Raw genomic sequence first — 20,383 nt, forward strand, 5'->3', positions numbered from 1 at the left:
AAAAAAAAAATTAAAGGCCAGGCATGGTGGCTCACGCCTGTAATCCCAGCACTTTGGGAGGCCAAGGCAGCAGATCACCTGAGGTCAGGAGTTCGAGATCAGCCTGGCCAACATGGCGAAACCCTGTCTTTACTAAAAATACAAAAATTAGCCAGGTGTTCACCTGTGATCTCAGCTGCTTGGGAGACTGAGGCAGGCGAATTGCTTGAGTCTAGGAGGTGGAGGTTGCAGGGAGCCGAGACTGCACCACTGCACTCCAGCCTGGGTGACAGAGTGAGACTCTGTCTCAAAAAAAATGTTAAAAAGGAAGTTGCCAAGATGGCCAAATAGGAACAGCTCCCATCTGCTGCTCCCAGCGTGATCAACACAGAAGACGGGTAATTTCTGCATTTCCAACTGAGGTACCTGGTTCATCTCATTGGGATTGGTTGTACAGTGGGTGCTGCCCACAGAGGGCGAGCTGAAGCAGGGCAGGGCATCGCCTCACCCAGGAAGCACAAGGGGTCGGGCGATTTCCCTTTCCTAGCCAAGGGAAGCCGTGACAGACTATCTGGAAGAACGGGACACCCCCTGCCCAAATACTGCACTTTTCCCAAGGTCTTAGCAACCAGCAGACAAAGTGATTCTCTACCATGCCTGGCTCAGTGGGTCCCATGCCCAAGGAGCCTTCCTGACTGCTAGCGCAGCAGTCTGGGATCAATCTGCGAGGTGGCAGCCTAGCTAGGGGAGGGGCGTCCACCATTGCTGAGGCTTGAGTAGGTAAACAAAGCGGCCAGGAAGCTCAAACTGGGCAGAGCCCACCGCAGCTCAACAAGGCCTAATGCATCCAGACTCCACCTCTGTGGGCAGGGCATAGCTGAACAAAAGGCAGCAGAAACTTCTGCAGACTTAAATGTCCCTGTCTGACAGCTCTGAAGAGAGCAGTGGTTCTCCCAGCACAGCGTTTGAGCTCTGAGAACGGACAGACTGCCTCCTCAAATGGGTCCCTGACCCCCGTGTAGCCTAACTGGGAAACACCTACCACTGGGGGCCGACAGACACCTCATATAGGGTGCTACCTCTCTGGGACGAAGCTTCCAGAGGAAGGATCAGGCAGCAATATTTGCTGTTCTGCAGCCTCCGCTGGTGATACCCAGGCAAACAGGGTCTGGAGTGGAACTCCAACAGACCTGCAGCTGAGGGACCTGACTGTTAGAAGGAAAACAGACAGACAGAAAGGAATAGCATTAACATCAACAAAAAGGTCATCTACACCAAAACCCCATCTGTAGGTCACCAACATCAAAGACCAAAGGTAGATAAAACCACAAAGATGAGGAGAAACCAGCAGAAAAGCTGAAAATTATAAAAATCAGAGCATCTCTTCCCCTCCAGAGGATCACAGCTCCTCGCCAGCAACGGAACAAAGCTGGACAGAGAATGACTTTGACAAGTTGACAGAAGTAGGCTTCAGAAGGTCGGTAATAACAGACTTCTCTTAGCTAAAAGATAATGTTCTAACCCATCGCAAGGAAGCTAAAAATCTTGAAAAAACGTTAGACAAATGGCTAACTAGAATAAACAATGTAGAGAAGACCTTAAATGACCTGATGGAGCTGAAAACCATGGCACGGGAACTTTGTGTTGCATGCACAAGCTTCAGTAGCCAATTCGATCAAGTGGAAGAAAGGGTATCAGTGATTGAAGATCAAATTAATGAAATAAAGAGAGAAGACAAGGTTAGAGGAAAAAGTAAAAAGCAACGAACAAAGCCTCCAAGAAATATGGGACTATGTGAAAAGACCAAATATGTGTTTGATTGGCGTATCTGAAAGTGACAGAGAGAATGGAACCAAGTTGGAAAACACTCTGCAGGATATTATCCAGGAGACCTTCCCCAACCTAGCAAGGCAGGCCAACATTCAAATTCAGGAAATACAGAGAACACCACAAAGATACTCCTTGAGAAGAGCAACCCCAAGACACATAATTGTCAGATTCACCAAGGTTGAAATGAAGGAAAAAGTGTTAAGGGCAGCCAGAGAGAAAGGCCGAGTTACCCACAAAGGGAAGCCCATCAGACTAACAGCACATCTCTTGGCAGAAACCCTACGAGCCAGAAGAGAGTGGGGGCCAATATTCAACATTCTTAAAGAAAAGAATTTTCAACCCAGAATTTCATATCCAGCCAAACTAAGCTTCATAAGTGAAGGAGAAATAAAATCCTTTACAGACAAGCAAATGCTGAGACATTTTGTCACCACCAGGCCTGCCTTACAAGAGCTCCTGAAACAAGCACTAAACATGGAAAGGAACAACCGGTACCAGCCCCAGCAAAAACATGCCAAATTGTAAAGACCGTCGATCCTATGAAGAAACTGCTTTAATTAACGGGCAGAATAAGCAGCGAATGTCATAATGACAGGATCAAATTCACACATAACAATATTAAACTTAAACGTAAATGGGCTAAATGCCCCAATTAAAAGACACAGACTGGCAGATTGGATAAAGAGTCAAGACCCATCAGTGTGCTGAATTGAGGAGACCCATCTCATGTGCAAAGACACATATAGGCTCAAAATAAAGGGATGGAGGAAGATCTACCAAGCAAATGGAAAGCAAAAAAAAGCAGGGGTTGCAATCCTAGTCTCTCATAAAGCAGACTTTAAACCAACAAAGATCAAAAGAGAGACAAAATAGGCCATTATGTAATGGTAAAGGGATCAATTCAACAAGAAGAGCTAAGAATCCTAAATATACATGTACCCAATAAAGGAGCACCCAGATTCATAAAGCAAGTCCTTAGAGACCTGCAAAGAGACTTAGACTCCCACACAATAATCATGGGAGACTTTAACACCCCACTGTCAATATTAGATCAACAAGACAGAAGGTTAACAAGGATATCCAGGACCTGAACTCAGATCTGCAACAAGCAGACCTAATGGACATCTACAGAACTCTCCACCCAAAAACAACAGAATATACATTCTTCTCAGCACCACATCACATTTATTCTAAAATTGACCACATAATTGGAAGTAAAGCACTCCTCAGCAAATGTGAAAGAACAGAAATCACAACAAACTGTCTCTCAGACCACAGTGCAATCAAACTAGAACTCAGGATTAAGAAACTCATTCAAAACTGCACAACTACATGGAAACTGAACAACCTGCTCCTGAATGACTACTGGGTACATAATGAAATGAAGGCAGAAATAAAGATGTTCTTTGAAACCAATGAGAACAAAGACGCAACATGCCAGAATCTCTGAGACACATTTAAAGCAGTGTGTAGAGGGAAATTTATAGCACTAAATGCCCACAAAGGAAAGCAGGAACGATCTAAAATCAACGGCCTAACATCATAATTAAAAGAACTAGAGAAGCAAGAGCAAACACATTCAAAAGCTAGCAGAAGGCAAGAAATAACTAAGAGCAGAACTGAAAAAGATAAGAGACACAAAAAACCCTTCAAAAAATCAGTGAATCCAGGAGCTGGTTTTTTGAAAAGATCAACAAAACTGGTAGACGGCTAGCAAGACTAATAAAGAAGAAAAGAGAGAAGAATCAAGTAGATGCAATAAAAAATGATAAAGGGGATATTGCCACTGATCCCATAGAAATACAAACTACCATCAGAGAATACTATAAGCACCTCTATGCAAATAAACCAGAAAATCTACAAGAAATGGATAAATTCCTGGACACATACACCCTCCCAACACTAAACCAGGAAGAAGTTGAATCTCTGAATAGATCAATAACAGGCTCTGAAATTGAGGCAATAATTAATAGCCTACCAACCAAAAAGAGTCCAGGACCAGAAGGATTCACAGCCAAATTCTACCAGAGGTACAAAGAGGAGCTGCTACCATTCCTTCTGACACCATTCCAATCAATAGAAAAAGAGGGAATCCTCCCTAACTCATTTTATGAGGCCAGCATCATCCTGATATCAAAGCCTGGCAGAGACACAACAAAAAAAGAGAATTTTAGGCCAGTATCCCTGATGAACATCGATGTGAAAATCCACAATAAAATACTGGCAAACCGAATCCAGCAGCACATCAAAAAGCTTATCCAACACGATCAAGTAGGCTTCATCCCTGGGATGCAAGGCTGGTTCAACATATGCAAATCAATAAACGTAATCTATCACATAAACAGATCCAGTGACAAAAACCACATGATTATATCAATAGATGCAGAAAAGGCCTTTGACAAAATTCAATAGCCCTTCCTGCTAAAAACTCTCAATAAACTAGGTATTGATGGAACATATTTCAAAATAATAAGAGCTATTTATGACAAACCCACAGCCAATATCATACTGAATGCGCAAAAACTGGAAGCATTCCCTTTGAAAACTGGCACAAGACAAGGATGCCCTCTCTCTCCACTCCCATTCAACATAGTGTTGGAAGTTCTGGCCAGGGCAGTCAGGCAAGAGAAAGAAATAAAGGGTATTCAATTAGGAAATGAGGAAATCAAATTGTCCCTGTTTGCAGATGACATGATTTTATATTTAGAAAACCCCATCATCTCAGCCCAAAATCTCCTTAAGCTAATAAGCAACTTCAACAAAATATTAGGATACAAAATCAATGTGCAAAAATCACAAGCACTCCTATACACCATTAGGAGACAAACGAAGAGCCAAATCATGAGTGAACTCCCATTCACAATTGCTACAAAGAGAATAAAATACCTAGGAATCCAACTTAAAAGGGATATGAAGGACTTCTTCAAGGAGAACTACAAACCACTGCTCAACGAAATAAAAGAGAACACAAACAAATGGAAGAATATTCCACACTCATGGATAAGAAGAATCAATATCGTGAAAATGGCCATACTGCCCAAAGTAATTTATAAATTCAGTGCCATCCCCATCAAGCTACCAATGACTTTCTTCACAGAATTGGAAAAAACTAAAGTTCATATGGAACCAAAAAGCCTGCATTGCCAAGACAATCCTAAGCAAAAAGAAAAAAGCTGGATGCATCACGCTACCTGACTTCAAACTATACTACAAGGCTACAGTAACCAAAACAGCATGGTACTGGTACCAAAACAGAGATATAGACCAATGGAACAGAACGGAGGCCTCAGAAATAACACCACACATCTACAACCATTTGATCTTTGACAGACCTGACAAAAACAAGCAATGGGGAAAGGATTCACTATTTAATAAATGGTGCTGGGAAAACTGGCTAGCCGTATGTAGAAAGCTGAAACTGGATCCCTTCCTTACACCTTGTACAAAAATTAATTCAAGATGGATTAAAGACTTAAATGTTAGACCTAAAGCCATAAAAACCCTAGAAGAAAACCTAGGCAATACCATTCAGGACATAGGCATGGGCAAGGACTTCAACACCAAAGCAATAGCAACACCAAAAGCAATAGCAACAAAAGCCAAAATAGACAAATGGGATCTAATTAAACTAAAGAGCTTCTGCACAGCAAAAGAAACTACCATCAGAGTGAATAGGCAACCTACAGAATGGGAGAAAATTTTTGCAATCTACCCATCTGACAAAGGGCTAATATCCAGAATCTACAAGGGACTCAAACAAATTTACAAGAAAACAACCCCATCAAAAAGTGGGCAAAGCATATGAACAGACACTTTTCAAAAGAAGACATCTACACAGCCAACAGACACATGAAAAAATGCTCATCATCATTGGTCATCAGAGAAATGCAAGTCAGAACCACCATGAGATACCATCTCACACCAGTTAGAATGGTGATCATTAAAAAGTCAGGAAACAACAGGTGCTGGATAGGATGTGGAGAAATAGGAATGCTTTTACACTGTTGGGAGTGTAAATTGGTTCAACCATTGTGGAAGACTGTGTGGAGATTCCTCAAGGATGTAGAACTAGAAATACCATTTGACCCAGCAATCCCATTACTGGGTATATATCCAAAAGATTATAAATCATACTACTATGAAGAAACATGCACATATATGTTTATTGCAGCACTATTCACAATAGCAAAGACTTGGAACCAACCCAAATGTCCACCAATGATAGACTGGATTAAGAAAATGTGGCACATATACACCATGGAATACTATGCAGCCATAAAAAAGGATGAGTTCATGTCTGTTGCAGGGACATGGATGAAGCTGGAAACCATCATTCTGAGCAGACTATCACAAGGCCAGAAAACCAAACACCGCATGTTCTCACTCATAGGTGGGAATTGAACAATGAGATAACTTGGACACCGTGGGGAACATCACATAGTGGGGCCTGTTGGGCGGTGGGGGGCTAGGGGAAGCATAGCATTAGGAGAAATACCTAATGTGAACGATGAGTTGATGGGTGCAGCAAACCAACATGGCACGTGTATACCTATGTGTCAAACCTGCACGTTGTGCACGTGTACCCTAGAACTTAAAGTATAAAAAAAAACTACAAATAAATTTGATGACTATATGATCTTTAGAAGTAAAAACGTTTTCTAAATGTACTAGCAATAGAAAACGTTTCAGAGGAAAACATTTAAATATTTCTATACATCAAAAGTATCCTAAATGTAAACAAAATACCAGAAGATATATTTGTTAACAATAGGGCAAACAAGAGGTCAATACCTTTAATACGTGGAGTCCAGATCATCTAGAAGATAACACCAAAGATCTCAGTGGCTAAAGAGACAGAACATTAATGTGCAATTACAAAGGAAAAAAATATGATGACCAATAACCATTACAAAATGCCAAATCTCAATAGTGATTAAATCCACTCACATTAAAGTGAGATATGATTTTTCACCTCTTGAATGATAGGACTCAGTGTCTGTGAGGATGAAGTACAACAGTCAACTACTCCAATACAAGACTATTGTAATTCTGCACTGCTCCAGCTTCGTAGAAGGCAGCTTAGCAATTGTGTTTCAAGTCTCAAAAATATTCATATGCTTTAATCCACTAATTTAGCTCTTAGGACTTTCAATCAGGAAATATTTGAAAATGGTCAGTAAAAGTAAGATTTTTTCACATACTTATCACAACATTTATGTATATATTTATATACACACATATATACATAAACATATATATCAACCAAAATATTCTACTTCTCAACCTTCAAACAGTGGAATGTTGTGCGGCGATGAGAAAGTATGGTCATGAAGATTTTTTAAGGCACATAAAAATGCTTATGGTTTATGATAGGTTTAAGGGAAGGATAAAATATGTAAAGTGGTTTTAAATATGCATACAATGCATACATAATCCTGAAGGAATTGTGCCCACATGTAGATAGTAGATAAATTTTTTCCTATTTAATGTTATTTTTGTTAGAAATCTTTGAGTTATGCTTGGCAGAAAATCGGTCTTCAGTCGGTTTAAACAACAGCAAAAGAGGGGGAGGTGGGATTTATTCTTTCCACCTATTTATTCTCTGAAACTGAAAATTCCAGGCCTGAGGTATGGCTCCAGTCAAAGCTAGATAACTGCAGACCAGATATTGTCAAGGGCTGTGTTTTGTTCCTTTCATCCTGTGTCAGCTGGCCTCCTGGGCATGGTGGGTCTGGACACTTCCTTGTGGTAGCAGAATGGCTGAAGCATTTCAGATGTCACATCTTCCAAGCCAAGGGAGGTTTTTTGTTTTTTTGTTTTGTTTTTTGTTTTTTTGAGACAGGTTCTCGCTCTGTCGCCCAGGCTGAAGTGCAATGCGTGGTCTCAGCTCACTGCAACCTCCGCCTCCCGCGTTCAAGTGATTCTCCTGTCTCAGCCTCCCCAGTAGCTGGGATTACAGGCACCTGCCACCACGCCCAGCTAATTTTTGTATTTTTAGTACAGTCGGGGTTTCACCATGTTGGCCAGGCTTGTCTGGAACTCCTGACCTCATGATCTGCCCGCCGCAGCCCCTCAAAGTGCTGGGATTACAGGCGTGAGCCACCGCGCCTGGCCGAGGTCTTTTTTTTAATGGCTTTCTCTATTGATGGGTGAAGCTTCTCTTTCCCATGGGCACTAACAGATGTCTCCTCACTTCTCAGTGGCTGTTACTGAGTTATGTGTCAATCCCTGGATCAGTTGCTGAGTCCGGTGGGATGTTACATGTTTGTCTCAAACCAATCAGGTTGTACCTCTGGAGCACATCAGGGCAATCCCACCTAAACCCCAGGGCTAAAAACAGAGGAGTTCTTTCCCCTGAAGCAAAATCTGGGTTCTCTTCTAGGATGGAGAACAGACCCAGGCTAGCAAAAGCAATCAGTGTTCACTACAAGGTACTTTCAGATTGTCCACAGTGACCTTATACTAAAGTTATGATCAGAAAAGTATTAATGTTAGAATCAGAAATAAGTTATAAACTTGAGGAAAAAGAATAAAAAGCTTCCTGCCCCTATGAAGAAATATTGAAGTATGGGAAGCACCCCAAAGAAATATGGGAACTTAACAAGTTTGTAAAAGCTCTGGGATGAATTAGAATTCATTTCATAAACCACGTGGGAGGCAGTGCCATGGAGAGGTGAGTGTGTCTTCAGAATCTTAGGAGACCCCAATTCTTTTTACTAGTTATCTAATCTTGGACATATTGCTTAATGTCTTTGAGCCTCTCTTTTCTCATCAGTAAAAGAGAGATAATATTATACTACCTTCCTCACAAGCCTGTTATGAGATTAAACAAATATACATGTGCTAAGGTGAACAGAGAGCACTTAAAGAATGTTATCTTTATCATTAATAATAAACATTATGGAGATAATTTTTAAAAACACATAATAAACACCCTGTATGTATTGTGCTAAGAGAGGATGACTTGATTCATCTTTTTAATTTTTCTCAGCCTTATCTAATTTTTACATATACACACAAATCTTACTCATCTCACAAGTGTTGAGACTTAACTGCGAAAGGAAATAGATTACAGGAGAAATGTAATGCCTTCTCTACAAGCAGATTTCTTAAAGAGCAAGAAAAACATCTTTTTTAACACTTAACTTTGGTTGCTATAATCATAGCTAATACTTATTTGGTGCTTTTCATGTATCTGAGCTTAATATTCTGTTTTTACCTGAAGTAACTCATTGAATCCTCAACAACTCCATAGGTTAGGTGCCATAGTATTCCTAATACACAAGAGAAGATATTGAAGCCCCAGTGGAGCTTGTACTCAAATAGAGAAATCTAGCCCCAGGACCATCCTGTAATCACTCCCTTTACTGCTCTCCACAGGTGACAACTGGCCTCTGTTACTATCAACAACAAGATATGGTTTGCTTGGTCCTCAGTTTCCCTTCTCTGAAACTTTTCTGTCATCACGAGCAGTCACACACCTTGAGTGCATGGTTCTGGAGAAAGTAGATGTAGGGGAAACAGTTTAAAGATGCCTCTCCAATAGTGTCTAGTACTGTGTATCAAGTAAGGAAAATTCATGGCGCCTTTAATGTGCGTCGTTGAGTGGTGAGAAATCTGCTTACTGAGAAAGTGAAAATCTCTTACTGGGGATTATGCAGTCAAAAATACAGTGGACTAGTGGCGTGAATCTTGTGGAAATACAAGTACAAATGACTGCCAGTTTAAGGTCGTAAGATCTGAGTGTGAAAAGTGTGTGAAGCTTTTATCAGCAGAGACCTGCTGCCAGTACCAACAGTTAGCTCAGGGCACCTCTGTGCCAGCTTCACTGGCAGTGCTCAGACTCTCCCCTGCTACAGTGATTAAGACAAAAGCTAGCACCTGCTGACACTTCAATTGGTGATAGCTTTTCTGTTGCAAGGAAATGTAGCTCCCTCATGGAGTATGAGTGAGCAAAAAACATTAACTCACAACTTAAATAATTTAGTAATTGTAGAAGGGATGTTTTCTTTGGTTCTACACTCATTTTTTTCCTTCTACCAGAGTATGCTACTAGTTGTTCCATTTTTATGCTGTCTGAAGATACTCTTTTTTAAATAGACTTTTTTTAGAGCAATTTTAGGTTTACAGAAAAATTGCACATAAAATAGTTTCCAGTTCCTTCCCACCACCCCCTGCACCCAGTTTCTCCTCTAGTTAATGTTTTACATATGTGGATGCGCCTTCTTTTCACTTCCATCATTCCTTTTTCTTTTTAAAAAATTTAACATGCCAGACTTTCTACCACCGCTGGTATCACTTATGTGAGATTTACATCACTTTACACACACACCTTGTTAAGTGTGAGTTCAGTTTTTAATAGTACAAGTGCAGTTATTGGTGAGTCTCATGCTACTGTGTTTGTTGTGCTTTCAGATCCTATTGATCATCGCTTCAGTTATTGGGATCATTGTCTATAGGCTCTCGGTGTTCATTGTATTTTCTGCAAAACTTCCCAAGAACATTAATGGAACAGACCCAATCCAGAAATACCTGACTCCACAGACAGCCACGTCCATCACGGCCTCCATCATCAGCTTTATAATTATCATGATTCTGAACACCATATATGAAAAAGTGGCAATTATGATTACTAACTTCGGTAAGGTCCTACTATAGCTTAGGTAACTTCTGACATATTTTTAGAACCTGCCAAAAATAGAGACTGTTATCTTTTAGGCGTTTCAATTCCAGTAGGTTACAATTTTTAGAAATTTTCAAGTGTAAACATATTTTCTCTAGCATGTATGGAAATAAATTATCTACAGCTTTGCATTAGTAAAAGGGACAAAGCAAAGACAATCATCATAACGTCCAAGCTCTCTGTAAACAGATCAGTGCTGAATAATATTTTCAATTACATTAGATCATGTACTCTATTGTTGAAAGTCAATAGTCTCTTTATTGCAAATAAGTGGAATAGGGTCATGGTTCCGGTGGCAAATATGTTCCTCGGTTGCTGAGAGGACAAGCTATCACACTGCTACGTGTCTTCCCTGTGCTGTGCTGTTCATATTAATATAATTCTCATCAGCCCTTGATTTTTTAATGTGTTTCTTCTCTCTGGCTTGTATCCCAGGCAGCTGTTTAGTGGCCAAGTTAAGTGCTTCCCACACTGCATACGTCTGAGTCGTTCCCTGAATGGCCTGCTCGGTGATCATCTAAAATGATCAAACTGATGCAAACTCCACACTAGGAGGATGACCTATTTTGTTTTTCCCAAATGCCTCTAGCAAGTTGTACCTTGGTTTGCTTGTTTTCTTCAATAGACCTACCTTATCGCAATTCAGGAAAACAAGAGAATATCATTTAGCAGGCAGTTCAAAAATAATTTTCTGTCAATTATACCCATGGCAGTTCTTATTTGATAACACTGGACTTGTAAATTTTAAGGAACAGTTGATTTTTTTGTGGGGCAGGGGGGAACATGTGGGCTATTGTATTCCTACTGTGAGGGAGAACTCATAACAATGTGCAAACTTGGAATTAACACAGTGGCTATATTAAGGAATTCAAAACAGCTTAAATGGAAACAGTGTGAATTGTATTTTTTTAACGTGTTTAACGTGTTAACTCATGTATCAGTATTTTTTATTAGAGTCTCAAAGCTGTTCACAATTTTAAAATCTTATTTCTCTTTCTTTTAACTACAGAACTCCCAAGGACCCAGACTGATTATGAGAACAGCCTCACCATGAAGATGTTCTTATTCCAGTTTGTCAACTACTACTCTTCATGCTTCTACATAGCATTCTTTAAGGGCAAATTTGTAGGCTATCCAGGAGACCCAGTTTATTGGTTGGGAAAATACAGAAATGAAGAGGTATGAATATATAATTGTATTATCTTGCCAGTTTAAGCTGAGTTTTCTCTCAGTTGCCCAAATGAATAGTTTTTTATTGTAAATTCCTTAGATTTATTTTTTAGCCTAAACAGAACAAATGTCAGAAAAATAGAATGCCTATATTTCAAGTTAGATCCATTGAATATTTAAATGGTATTTTCTTTTTAACCTTCTAGTGTGACCCAGGTGGCTGTCTTCTTGAACTGACAACTCAGCTGACAATAATCATGGGAGGAAAAGCAATCTGGAATAACATACAAGAAGTATTATTGCCGTGAGTGTTAAATTGTATAGCCATGGGTAAAAGGACAAGGGATAGAACAGCCCATCCACACAAATCATTTGCCTACATAGCCACATAGCCACATAGCTGCATGTCCACCTCTAAATGGATCAGAATCTGTTGTCATTAAAGGTCTCCAGACAACATAGTCCAACCAACAATGCAAATGTATCCAGGATCTAATAATTGTATTTTAAAACCTTCATTATATTTAATGTAAATCCCCATCTGCTAGAGTTTATACCTACTGGGCTATTGTTGGTGACTGACTAATCACAACCCTTTGAGCGACAGCACTGGTTAGAGCTGTGAACTGTGTATTTCCACAATTTCTTATATCCTCATATCCTTCTCCTCTCTTTCCTATATATTATGCATTTAAAAGTCAGTATGAATTCCAGTCACTATATTAAGTGCTATATATATATATACATCATTTAATCTACCAAACTATCCTTATTTTTATCTCCTTTTTACTAATGAAGATCTGTGGTTTAAAGAGGTTAAATGATTTACCCAGTTTCACATTAGCATTAAGAGACTACTGTAGGATTCAAATCCAGGATCCCATGAGTACAAACTTTTAAGAATAGAGGTTCTTTCATGATCCTAAGGCACTAGGATATATAATGTTTTAAGAAATAATTGTCTAAAATAATAATCACAAAGGCTTTGACTTACTGTTGTTTTCCTAAAAAATGAGAACAACAGAATAGTTGTACTTCAAATGTTAACTAAGATTTCATTGCCCTTTACAATTTTCACTTAGGCCCCCTCCACTATCAAAGTGTAAAGTCCAACACCATCTGCAATTTCTGCAAATTTCAGGGAGCTTTTTGTTTGGGTTTTCTATTGCTGCTATAACAAATTACCCCAAGATTAATGGGATAAAAATAACATGTAATATTTTATGGTCCCGGGGGTCAGAAGTCTCACTGGACTAAAATCAAGGTGTTAGTGGGGCTGTGTTCATTTCCAAGGGCTCTGGGGTGAATCTCTTTGCCTTTCCTAGCTTCTGGAGGCCACCATCTATGCTCCCTGCCTTGTAACCTCTTCTCCATCTTAAAGCCAGCAAAGTTTCGTGTTTGTGACTATCTTCTGTAGTCACCTCTCCCGCCTTCTGTCTTCTTCCCCCTGTCCTCCTCCTCTCATCTCCCCCACCACCTCTTCCCTTGTTTAGAAATAAAAAACCTCTACCTTTATAAAAAGTCTTTTATCCCACTATATAGCTGGGAATTTTTTAAAATTTATCACCCTTCTTTACAGGCTCTCGCCTCCTGCCATGTTGCCCTCTTGCCTCCATCACATACAACTTCTCTCTCCTTTCTTCTCCTACTCCTGGCTTTTTTCTCCCCAGTCACCAAGTTTCTGTTCATTCTCTTTATTGAGCAGTTAACTCACTCCGGGTTTCAGTGCCTCCTTCCAGATTTCTTTAACAGGTCTTATTCTCCATCTTCAATGGAAACTGTCAGGGTCTTTCTCTAAACAAAGATCTCTCTCCTTCCTCTTCCCCCACCCAGAAAGGGATTCTGGCTTTAGCTGTGAAATTCTTTTTTTTTTTTTATCCTACTCCGGAGAAAACAACCCTCACTTTCATTGAGCTCATATTCAGATTTTTCCAGATAAGTAAAAGTAGGTCATGCATAAATAGTACTGTGTTTCTAGATGAAAACAAATATATAAAATTGAGGAAAGTCTTAATCCATTCTGAGATTAAAAAGGGTTTTCTGAAAAAAGTAGGTTAATTATTTAACACTATGTTTCGGTAACATTGGTTTTTAGCAGCTATTTCCTAAACTGGAATTGAGAAATTCATATGAAATGAAATTTGTTCACATGAAATATTTTAAAGGATGAATTATACTATCCGTGGTTTATACTTTCACTTCAAGTAAGCTCATTGTTGAAAATTACAGTGATATGAACTTTGCCTTCAAATTTCTCCCCCTATGTTTTCTTGTTTGAAAACTGAGAATGCTGAGTGTTAGCCAAATTAGAGAGTGACTGGTGCTGCTTCTCTTTGTGTAGGTGCCAGTTTTCTTAACTTTTTTATACAAAGTCCTAATTTATCAAAGATATATCAGCCAGGTGCTGTGGTTCACACTGGTAATCCCAGCACTTTGGGAGGCCAAGGTGGTCAGATCACCTGAGGTCGGGAGTTCGAGACCAGCCTGACCAACATGGAGAAACCCCATCTCTACTGAAAATACAAAATTAGCCAGACATTTGGTGCATGCCTGTAATCCCAGCTACTCAGGAGGCTGAGGCAGGAGAATTGCTTGAACCTGGAGGCGGAGGTTGCAGTGAGCCGAGATCGCACCATTGCACTCCAGCCTAGGCAACAAGAGCGAAACTCCATCTCGAAGAAAAAAAAAAGATATATCAGTTATCCTTTCTATCCAAAACTATACCCACCCCCCAAAAATAGATAGAGAAAAGCCTTATAAGTCAGCAGTTGTTTTCACATCGTGTAAGTGTGTCAAGAGAAACATGGAGAAATGTTTCACCACACATGTACCCTCCTCTTCCTTCCTTCCTCTCCCGCCTTTGGGCCCATACCCCTTGACTAGGATTCTTGCAACAAGGAAAGGAGCATATCTGGCTCAGGGATCCAGGTTCCTTTTGGGGCCTCCCCAGTACCTGGCATATGACAGGGACTCAGTATGAAGCAGCTGAGTGAATGAATAAGTGCCTTGTATGCTTCAGATACATCACATCAGTAAATTACAGAGTTGTCAGTGAGACCCGGAGAGCAAGCTCAGAGCCCTTTGGCCTTCCCAGCTCCACCTTAGTGTTTTGATATTTAAGGTATTCCTGGGGATTTTATTCTGTTCTTAATAAAAGGCTAGTATAATTCCTGTGTTAACTCACTCTGGAGAAATTTTTATAACAAAATGTCAGAGATAATAGAATTAAGGATCCAAAATGTCTGTAGTATCAATTGTTTGGTATTTAGTAGATAGCTATAATTTTCCTTTATATACATTTATACATGTATATTGTAACATAAACGCCTCTTCTTATATAAATAAGTATACTTATTTATATAATAAGAAAAAAGAACTGTTTTAGGAGAAAATGTCCCTTCTCAGGATAGGATTTGGAGAGAAGATGAGCTATAGGCAATCAGAGTCCTAAATATAGGTGTCCCTCACTATCCACACTTACTCTCTAGGTTCAGAAACAGTAAACTGACACATAAAATAGATTCAGATAGTGAAGGATGCTTGTATTTCAAAATTAGCAAGTGGGAATACTGTAGAACGTCCTAAACAGAAATGATGATCATCTCCATTATGTGGATTAAATGTGATAATGGAGTTGAAGAGGAAGTGAGATGTAAAGTGCTTCTCACCATGTTTTGTACAAAATAAGGACCTAGTAAAGCATAACTTATGATGTGGCTATGACAATACACATGGTAAATTCCTATGGAAATTATTTTGTAACCCCTGCTTCTAGCCTTGGCCAGGGAAAACGTATCTGGTGTGTATATTTTTCTAAAAGTTCTGTGGGTGATTCTCATGTGAAGTCAAGATTGAGCTCCCTGCACTAGAAACACAGACCAATAGAAAACCCAAACATGAGTGGTTCAACTCAGGAAAACCAAACAAGAGGCTCAGCATCTGTAACTCAGAAATGAAAGCTAGTAAGAAAGACTTCTAAGATGACCTGATATGAGACGGAAGCGCCAGCTGACACAAGTAGTTGCCAGGACAGAAGTTTCATCCTGAATCTGAGCTTTGATGTGATTTAGAGCCCAGACAGAAAAAGACCTGCTTCTCTGAGGGCATGGAAAGGATTCAGCAAGAGGCGGAGGCTAGAAGTTTGGGAGGCAAAGCAAAGTATAAACAAATAGAAACCACACCCAGTGACCTTAGAGTTCGGTGTCATGAAGGGTGATGGACATGTGTGGTCCTTGGTGCTACCTGAGTCACCCCCCCCCCCCCCCCCGGAATGACTGCAAAACTGCAGATTCTGGAGCTTATCTCAGACCTTTTAGTTGGGAGCACAGGAAGCTGCACTACTCACAAGCATTCCATGTCATGCTTGTATGTGCTGAAGTGGGAACCACTGATCCAGGTGGCCTGGATAACTGAGCCAAGAGTCTACGTAATATAGGCCATATTTACACTTGGCCTCAGCCAGTGCAGCCTGTATTGCTCAACAGAAAATCCCATTCAGCAGGTTTTGATGTGTTAGGAAACGTGCTACATCCGTTACCTATTTTGAATCATTTAATCCTGACAGCAGCCCTGGGCAATGTAGGTTTTATCACCCCGTTTTATTTTTTTACCAAAGTTAACCAGCTAAGAAATAGAGTGTGGATTCAGATTCAGGGGTGTCTGAACTCATATCCCATCCACTTTCCACAGCCTCCTGCTGCCTCTCTAACATCATCAAAAAGAAAGAAGTGGGGAAAGATTGTGAGGTCAGAGACGTCTCCTGTAGTAGAGATAATTTCCCCTGAGTAAAGCTTCAGTAGCAGTCAGTGAAAAGTGAGCCCTGAGATCAATAGCAGTGGGAAACCCAGCAGAGTGAGCCGTTTGTACTGCCTGTCTTATGCTGGCTGGGTGTGCACGTGTGCACATGTGATGGAGAGGATGAGGGTCTGCCTGGTTTTCTTGCAATAACTGTCCTTAACCATCATGCGATGCCTTCTCATTGTCAGAGTTTGAAGTCCACACCCACATGTTTAATCAGCCAGTGTATCCAGATGTTAGATCTGTATTTGGAGTTGTTGTTATGCCTCTTCTGATGACTCCACAGGTAAACCACAAGCTGGCAGTTGCTTGAGGGGACAACAGTTCTCTATGCCACAGGTGCACACCTCATTTTACTGCCAACTCAGATTTCTTTTCCAGACAAATTGCCATAAAAAGGGGGGAAGCACTTAGCCACAAGGATTCTGAGATAGGGAAAAAAACATGACATAAAAAAGAGACAGTGGGTAGCTCAGCGGGGCAGTATCCACGGGTGGACAGAGCGCTGGGACGCAGTCCAGGCTGTTTTCTCCTAGCTCTGCACTATGACCTGGAGGAGGCGTTTCACTCCTCTGGTCCTTAAATGATTCAGCTTAAAATAGGAATTGGACCTATTTTATCTAAAGTCAGATTATGTCACTTTCCTACTTGGTGCCCTCCAATGGCTCCTCATTTCCCTCCGAGGAAAAAAATGCCCAGATCCTGACAGTGGTCTCTTATTCCTACCCTGCGTGCTGTCTGTGAACCATGGAGACCTGCTCCTGCCTCAGGGTCTCTGTCATCACCGTTCCCTCTGCCTGGGACTTCTTCCCCCAGGTTTCCCACTCCTTTGTCTCCTTCACATCCTTATTCAACATCATTCTGAAGGAGACCTTCACTGGCCACCTCCCTAGACACAAATGCAAGCACTCCCTGCCCTGCTTAGTTTTCTCCACAGCACTTACCACCAGCTCACATACTCTACCTTGTTTTCTCTGTTGATTTTCATACTGGCAAGACTATTTTGAATGATAAGGGGGAAATGAAAAAACAAACAACTGAAGTTAATCAAATAAAGGAACATGCCTTTTAAAAATTAAGCTGCCCATAGGGAAAAAGTAGGAGAAAAAAATAGTAGCAGCTGCAGCTTTGGTAAACCCTGGTGTGTAGTCCTATTTTTCAAAATATTTTGGAATAAGGAGGCAGAAATAAAAACAAATTTAGCATGCAAACAAAAAAATAGTTTATTGGGAAGATTACTTGTGCAGCTTTGAGATAGCAGCAAAATATTTTTATGACCTTGGCCTGATAATATTCGTTCTAATTTATAAATTGTTCTTTTTGGCAGCTGGATCATGAATCTAATTGGGCGATTTCACAGAGTTTCTGGATCAGAAAAGATAACCCCACGATGGGAACAGGACTACCATCTGCAGCCTATGGGCAAACTGGGATTATTTTATGAATATCTTGAAATGAGTAAGTTGTTAGTGAAGTTTTTAGTGATATAAAACATGTTAGAGTATGTTGTGGATACCAAAAGCATCTGTTATTGAGCCATATTAACATTTAGCATATTGAAATGAAGAAGAGTATGTTTTTCTCCACTAGATAAAATTATACAATCCAGCTTTCAGATAAGGTGGTCATGTATGTCTTTGTCAATATTTATGTTGTAAAAAGCTAGAAATTTATTACTGGGCAATGAAATGGAATATTCATTGAGGTACATCTTTACCATTAATTCTTTTTGTTTGTTTTTTTTGAGACAGAGTCTCACTCTGTAGCCCAGGCTGGAGTGTGGTGGTACAATCGTGGCTCACTGCAACCTCCACCTCCCAGGTTCAAGCAATTCTCCTGCCTCAGCCTCCTGAGTAGCCGGGATTACAGGCATGCGCCACCACACCCAGCTTATTTTTGGACTTTTAGTACTGACAGGGTTTCACCATGTTGTCCAGGCTAGTCTCAAACTCCTGGGCTCAAATGATCCACCCACCTTAGCCTTCCAAAGTGCTGGGATTACACGCATAAGCCACTGGGCCCGGCCATCTTTACCACGAATTCTTAAAGCATTCTAATCATGTTGTCTGAGAATGAACTCAGCAACTGTAATTAGATGTGATTCAGCTTGGCCTGGAGTCCGTGCAGGCACAGCTGTTGGCCGATACAGTTCTGAACTGAGTCAGTTAAGCAAGCCTGCAGGAGCATGCAGCTTCGTGGCAGGAATGGTCCCGGGATGCCCACTTTCACATCTCATGCCTGCCTTTGACAGCCTATTTCTTCTGGCCAGTGGTTTCTGCCTGGTTCCTTGAGTGACTTCATGGCTCATAACTGGCCTGAATTTGGAACCATTGTGCTGGTCTGGAATTAAGATTTAGCACAGGTCCTCTCTTTCCTAAATGCCTTGGTCCATTTTTATATTATTTGCTTGGACTCTTAATTCTTTTCAGTAGAACTTGATTTTGACCTCTCAGTTGCCTTTAAACGGAAGCATCTCAAAATAGATTTCCATAGGAAACACCACCTTTTGTATTATGCATGACACGCTTATATCTAATAGATGGCTAACAATTTACATGGTTTTTATCTGTGCCCTTTCAGCTAACCATTGCATTCAATTACAGTTTTTTTTAAGCTTAGGAGAATAGAAAAAGAAACACATCATTTTTGTTGACAGGCTTTGCATTTATGCACAGGGCTTTGCATGTTGGCAAAGACACCCCTTTGTGGTTCCTGTTTACAAGTCTGCAGTTAGAAGGTGGTTTTTATTAAATCACATTCTATATATAAAATAATTGCTTTTAAAAATATACATTATACATGGAAACACATCTGCTTCCTTCAATGAGTAAAAGGTTCATCTTGTGGCTTCTTTAGTCAACAGTACTTTGCAGCAGCCTGGAGCCTGTTTTGAATTTCATTTTTGCTTTGTTATGTTTTGTGACCAGGTTTTATTAAGGGTGTAGCTGCAGTACATATGTAGAAGCTGTCCTTAGTTAGTTATTATTCTGCTGATTTTCAGAAGGACTGTAAGACAATTACCTGTTGTTCAAAAATGAGTCATAATTGTAAATATTTCTTATTGGAACTATTAACAGCATTTTTAAAAATCCTGGGGCAGAATGTCATTTATTATTTTTAAAAAGTTATTTTTCTGTAGTTGATTAGTCAAATAAATGACATCAGAAGGGAAAGTTATATGGTCATGTGCTTTGGGGAGAAGTTGATAGGACTTTTAGAGTTTCATAGGCTCTTTAAAATAGTTATCAACCAAATAATTCTGCCTCATCCTGCCCTACAAGAAAGTATAGAATAACAGCTGTTATAGACAGATTTTTAGGTTTATTAGGTTGTTTTCCTGTTATCTAAATAGTATCTAATGACTTAGAAAACTTGATTTCTGAATTTCTGGGAGTAGGCAGTCTGTCACTGTGTGGGCAACAGGAGAGTGAAATCTGTGTTTTGTCCTTCTAGTCTGTGAGAGACATAATTTCCAAGTGCCTTTTGAATTGTTTTCATTTCCCTAGAAATAAACATTGAGTGCCTTTGGTATTGGTCTCACCACCACACAGTCCCCTCCTTCCCATTTCCCCATATTCCTTAACAACACCACCATCTACCTTTTAAATTGTGGCTCTAACTGCTTAAGGGAAACATCTTCCGGAAAGCAAGCCTCCAGGCTTGCTTGGCCTTGCACCCAGGCTCAACTCTCTTTCCTTCTTTCCTACCTGACAAGTCCTGCTGAGCCTCAGCTGGGCCCCTGAACTTTTCAGACAGCTTTGCTGCTCTTTTCTTCTAGGTGTTAGCAGCACCTGCTGCCTGCCGTGGTGGTATACGCTCTGTGCCTGCCTCTCTCCCCATTGCACCGAGCCCGATGGAGGCAGCTACTGCGTCCTCTGCTAGAGCGCCAGTGCCTGGAACCTTATACTCATAAACATTTAAGCA

At 40.4% G+C, this 20,383-nt stretch overlaps 1 protein-coding gene and 1 long non-coding RNA gene across 7 annotated transcripts in view; one reads left to right on the forward strand and one right to left on the reverse strand.

Moving 5' to 3' along the window:
- The window catches only part of ANO6 (anoctamin 6), a 224,310-nt gene that overhangs the window by 175,476 nt on the left and 28,451 nt on the right, over positions 1–20,383 (forward strand). For all 6 annotated transcript variants that reach the window (NM_001142679.2, NM_001204803.2, NM_001025356.3 and 3 more), the window contains 4 exons: positions 10,225–10,450; positions 11,502–11,671; positions 11,869–11,966; positions 17,787–17,917. In NM_001142679.2, the coding sequence (NP_001136151.1) occupies positions 10,225–10,450; positions 11,502–11,671; positions 11,869–11,966; positions 17,787–17,917 (625 nt within the window). The remainder of the gene's footprint in view (positions 1–10,224; positions 10,451–11,501; positions 11,672–11,868; positions 11,967–17,786; positions 17,918–20,383) is intronic.
- Positions 1–20,383, reverse strand: part of LOC105369743 (uncharacterized) — a 178,153-nt gene that overhangs the window by 879 nt on the left and 156,891 nt on the right. The window contains exon 6 of the long non-coding RNA XR_944886.3: positions 6,601–6,654. This is a non-coding gene — a long non-coding RNA (uncharacterized LOC105369743). The remainder of the gene's footprint in view (positions 1–6,600; positions 6,655–20,383) is intronic.

Source organism: Homo sapiens, chromosome 12 (genome assembly GCF_000001405.40).
Source record: "Homo sapiens chromosome 12, GRCh38.p14 Primary Assembly".
Classification (NCBI taxonomy): Eukaryota; Metazoa; Chordata; class Mammalia; order Primates; family Hominidae; genus Homo; species Homo sapiens.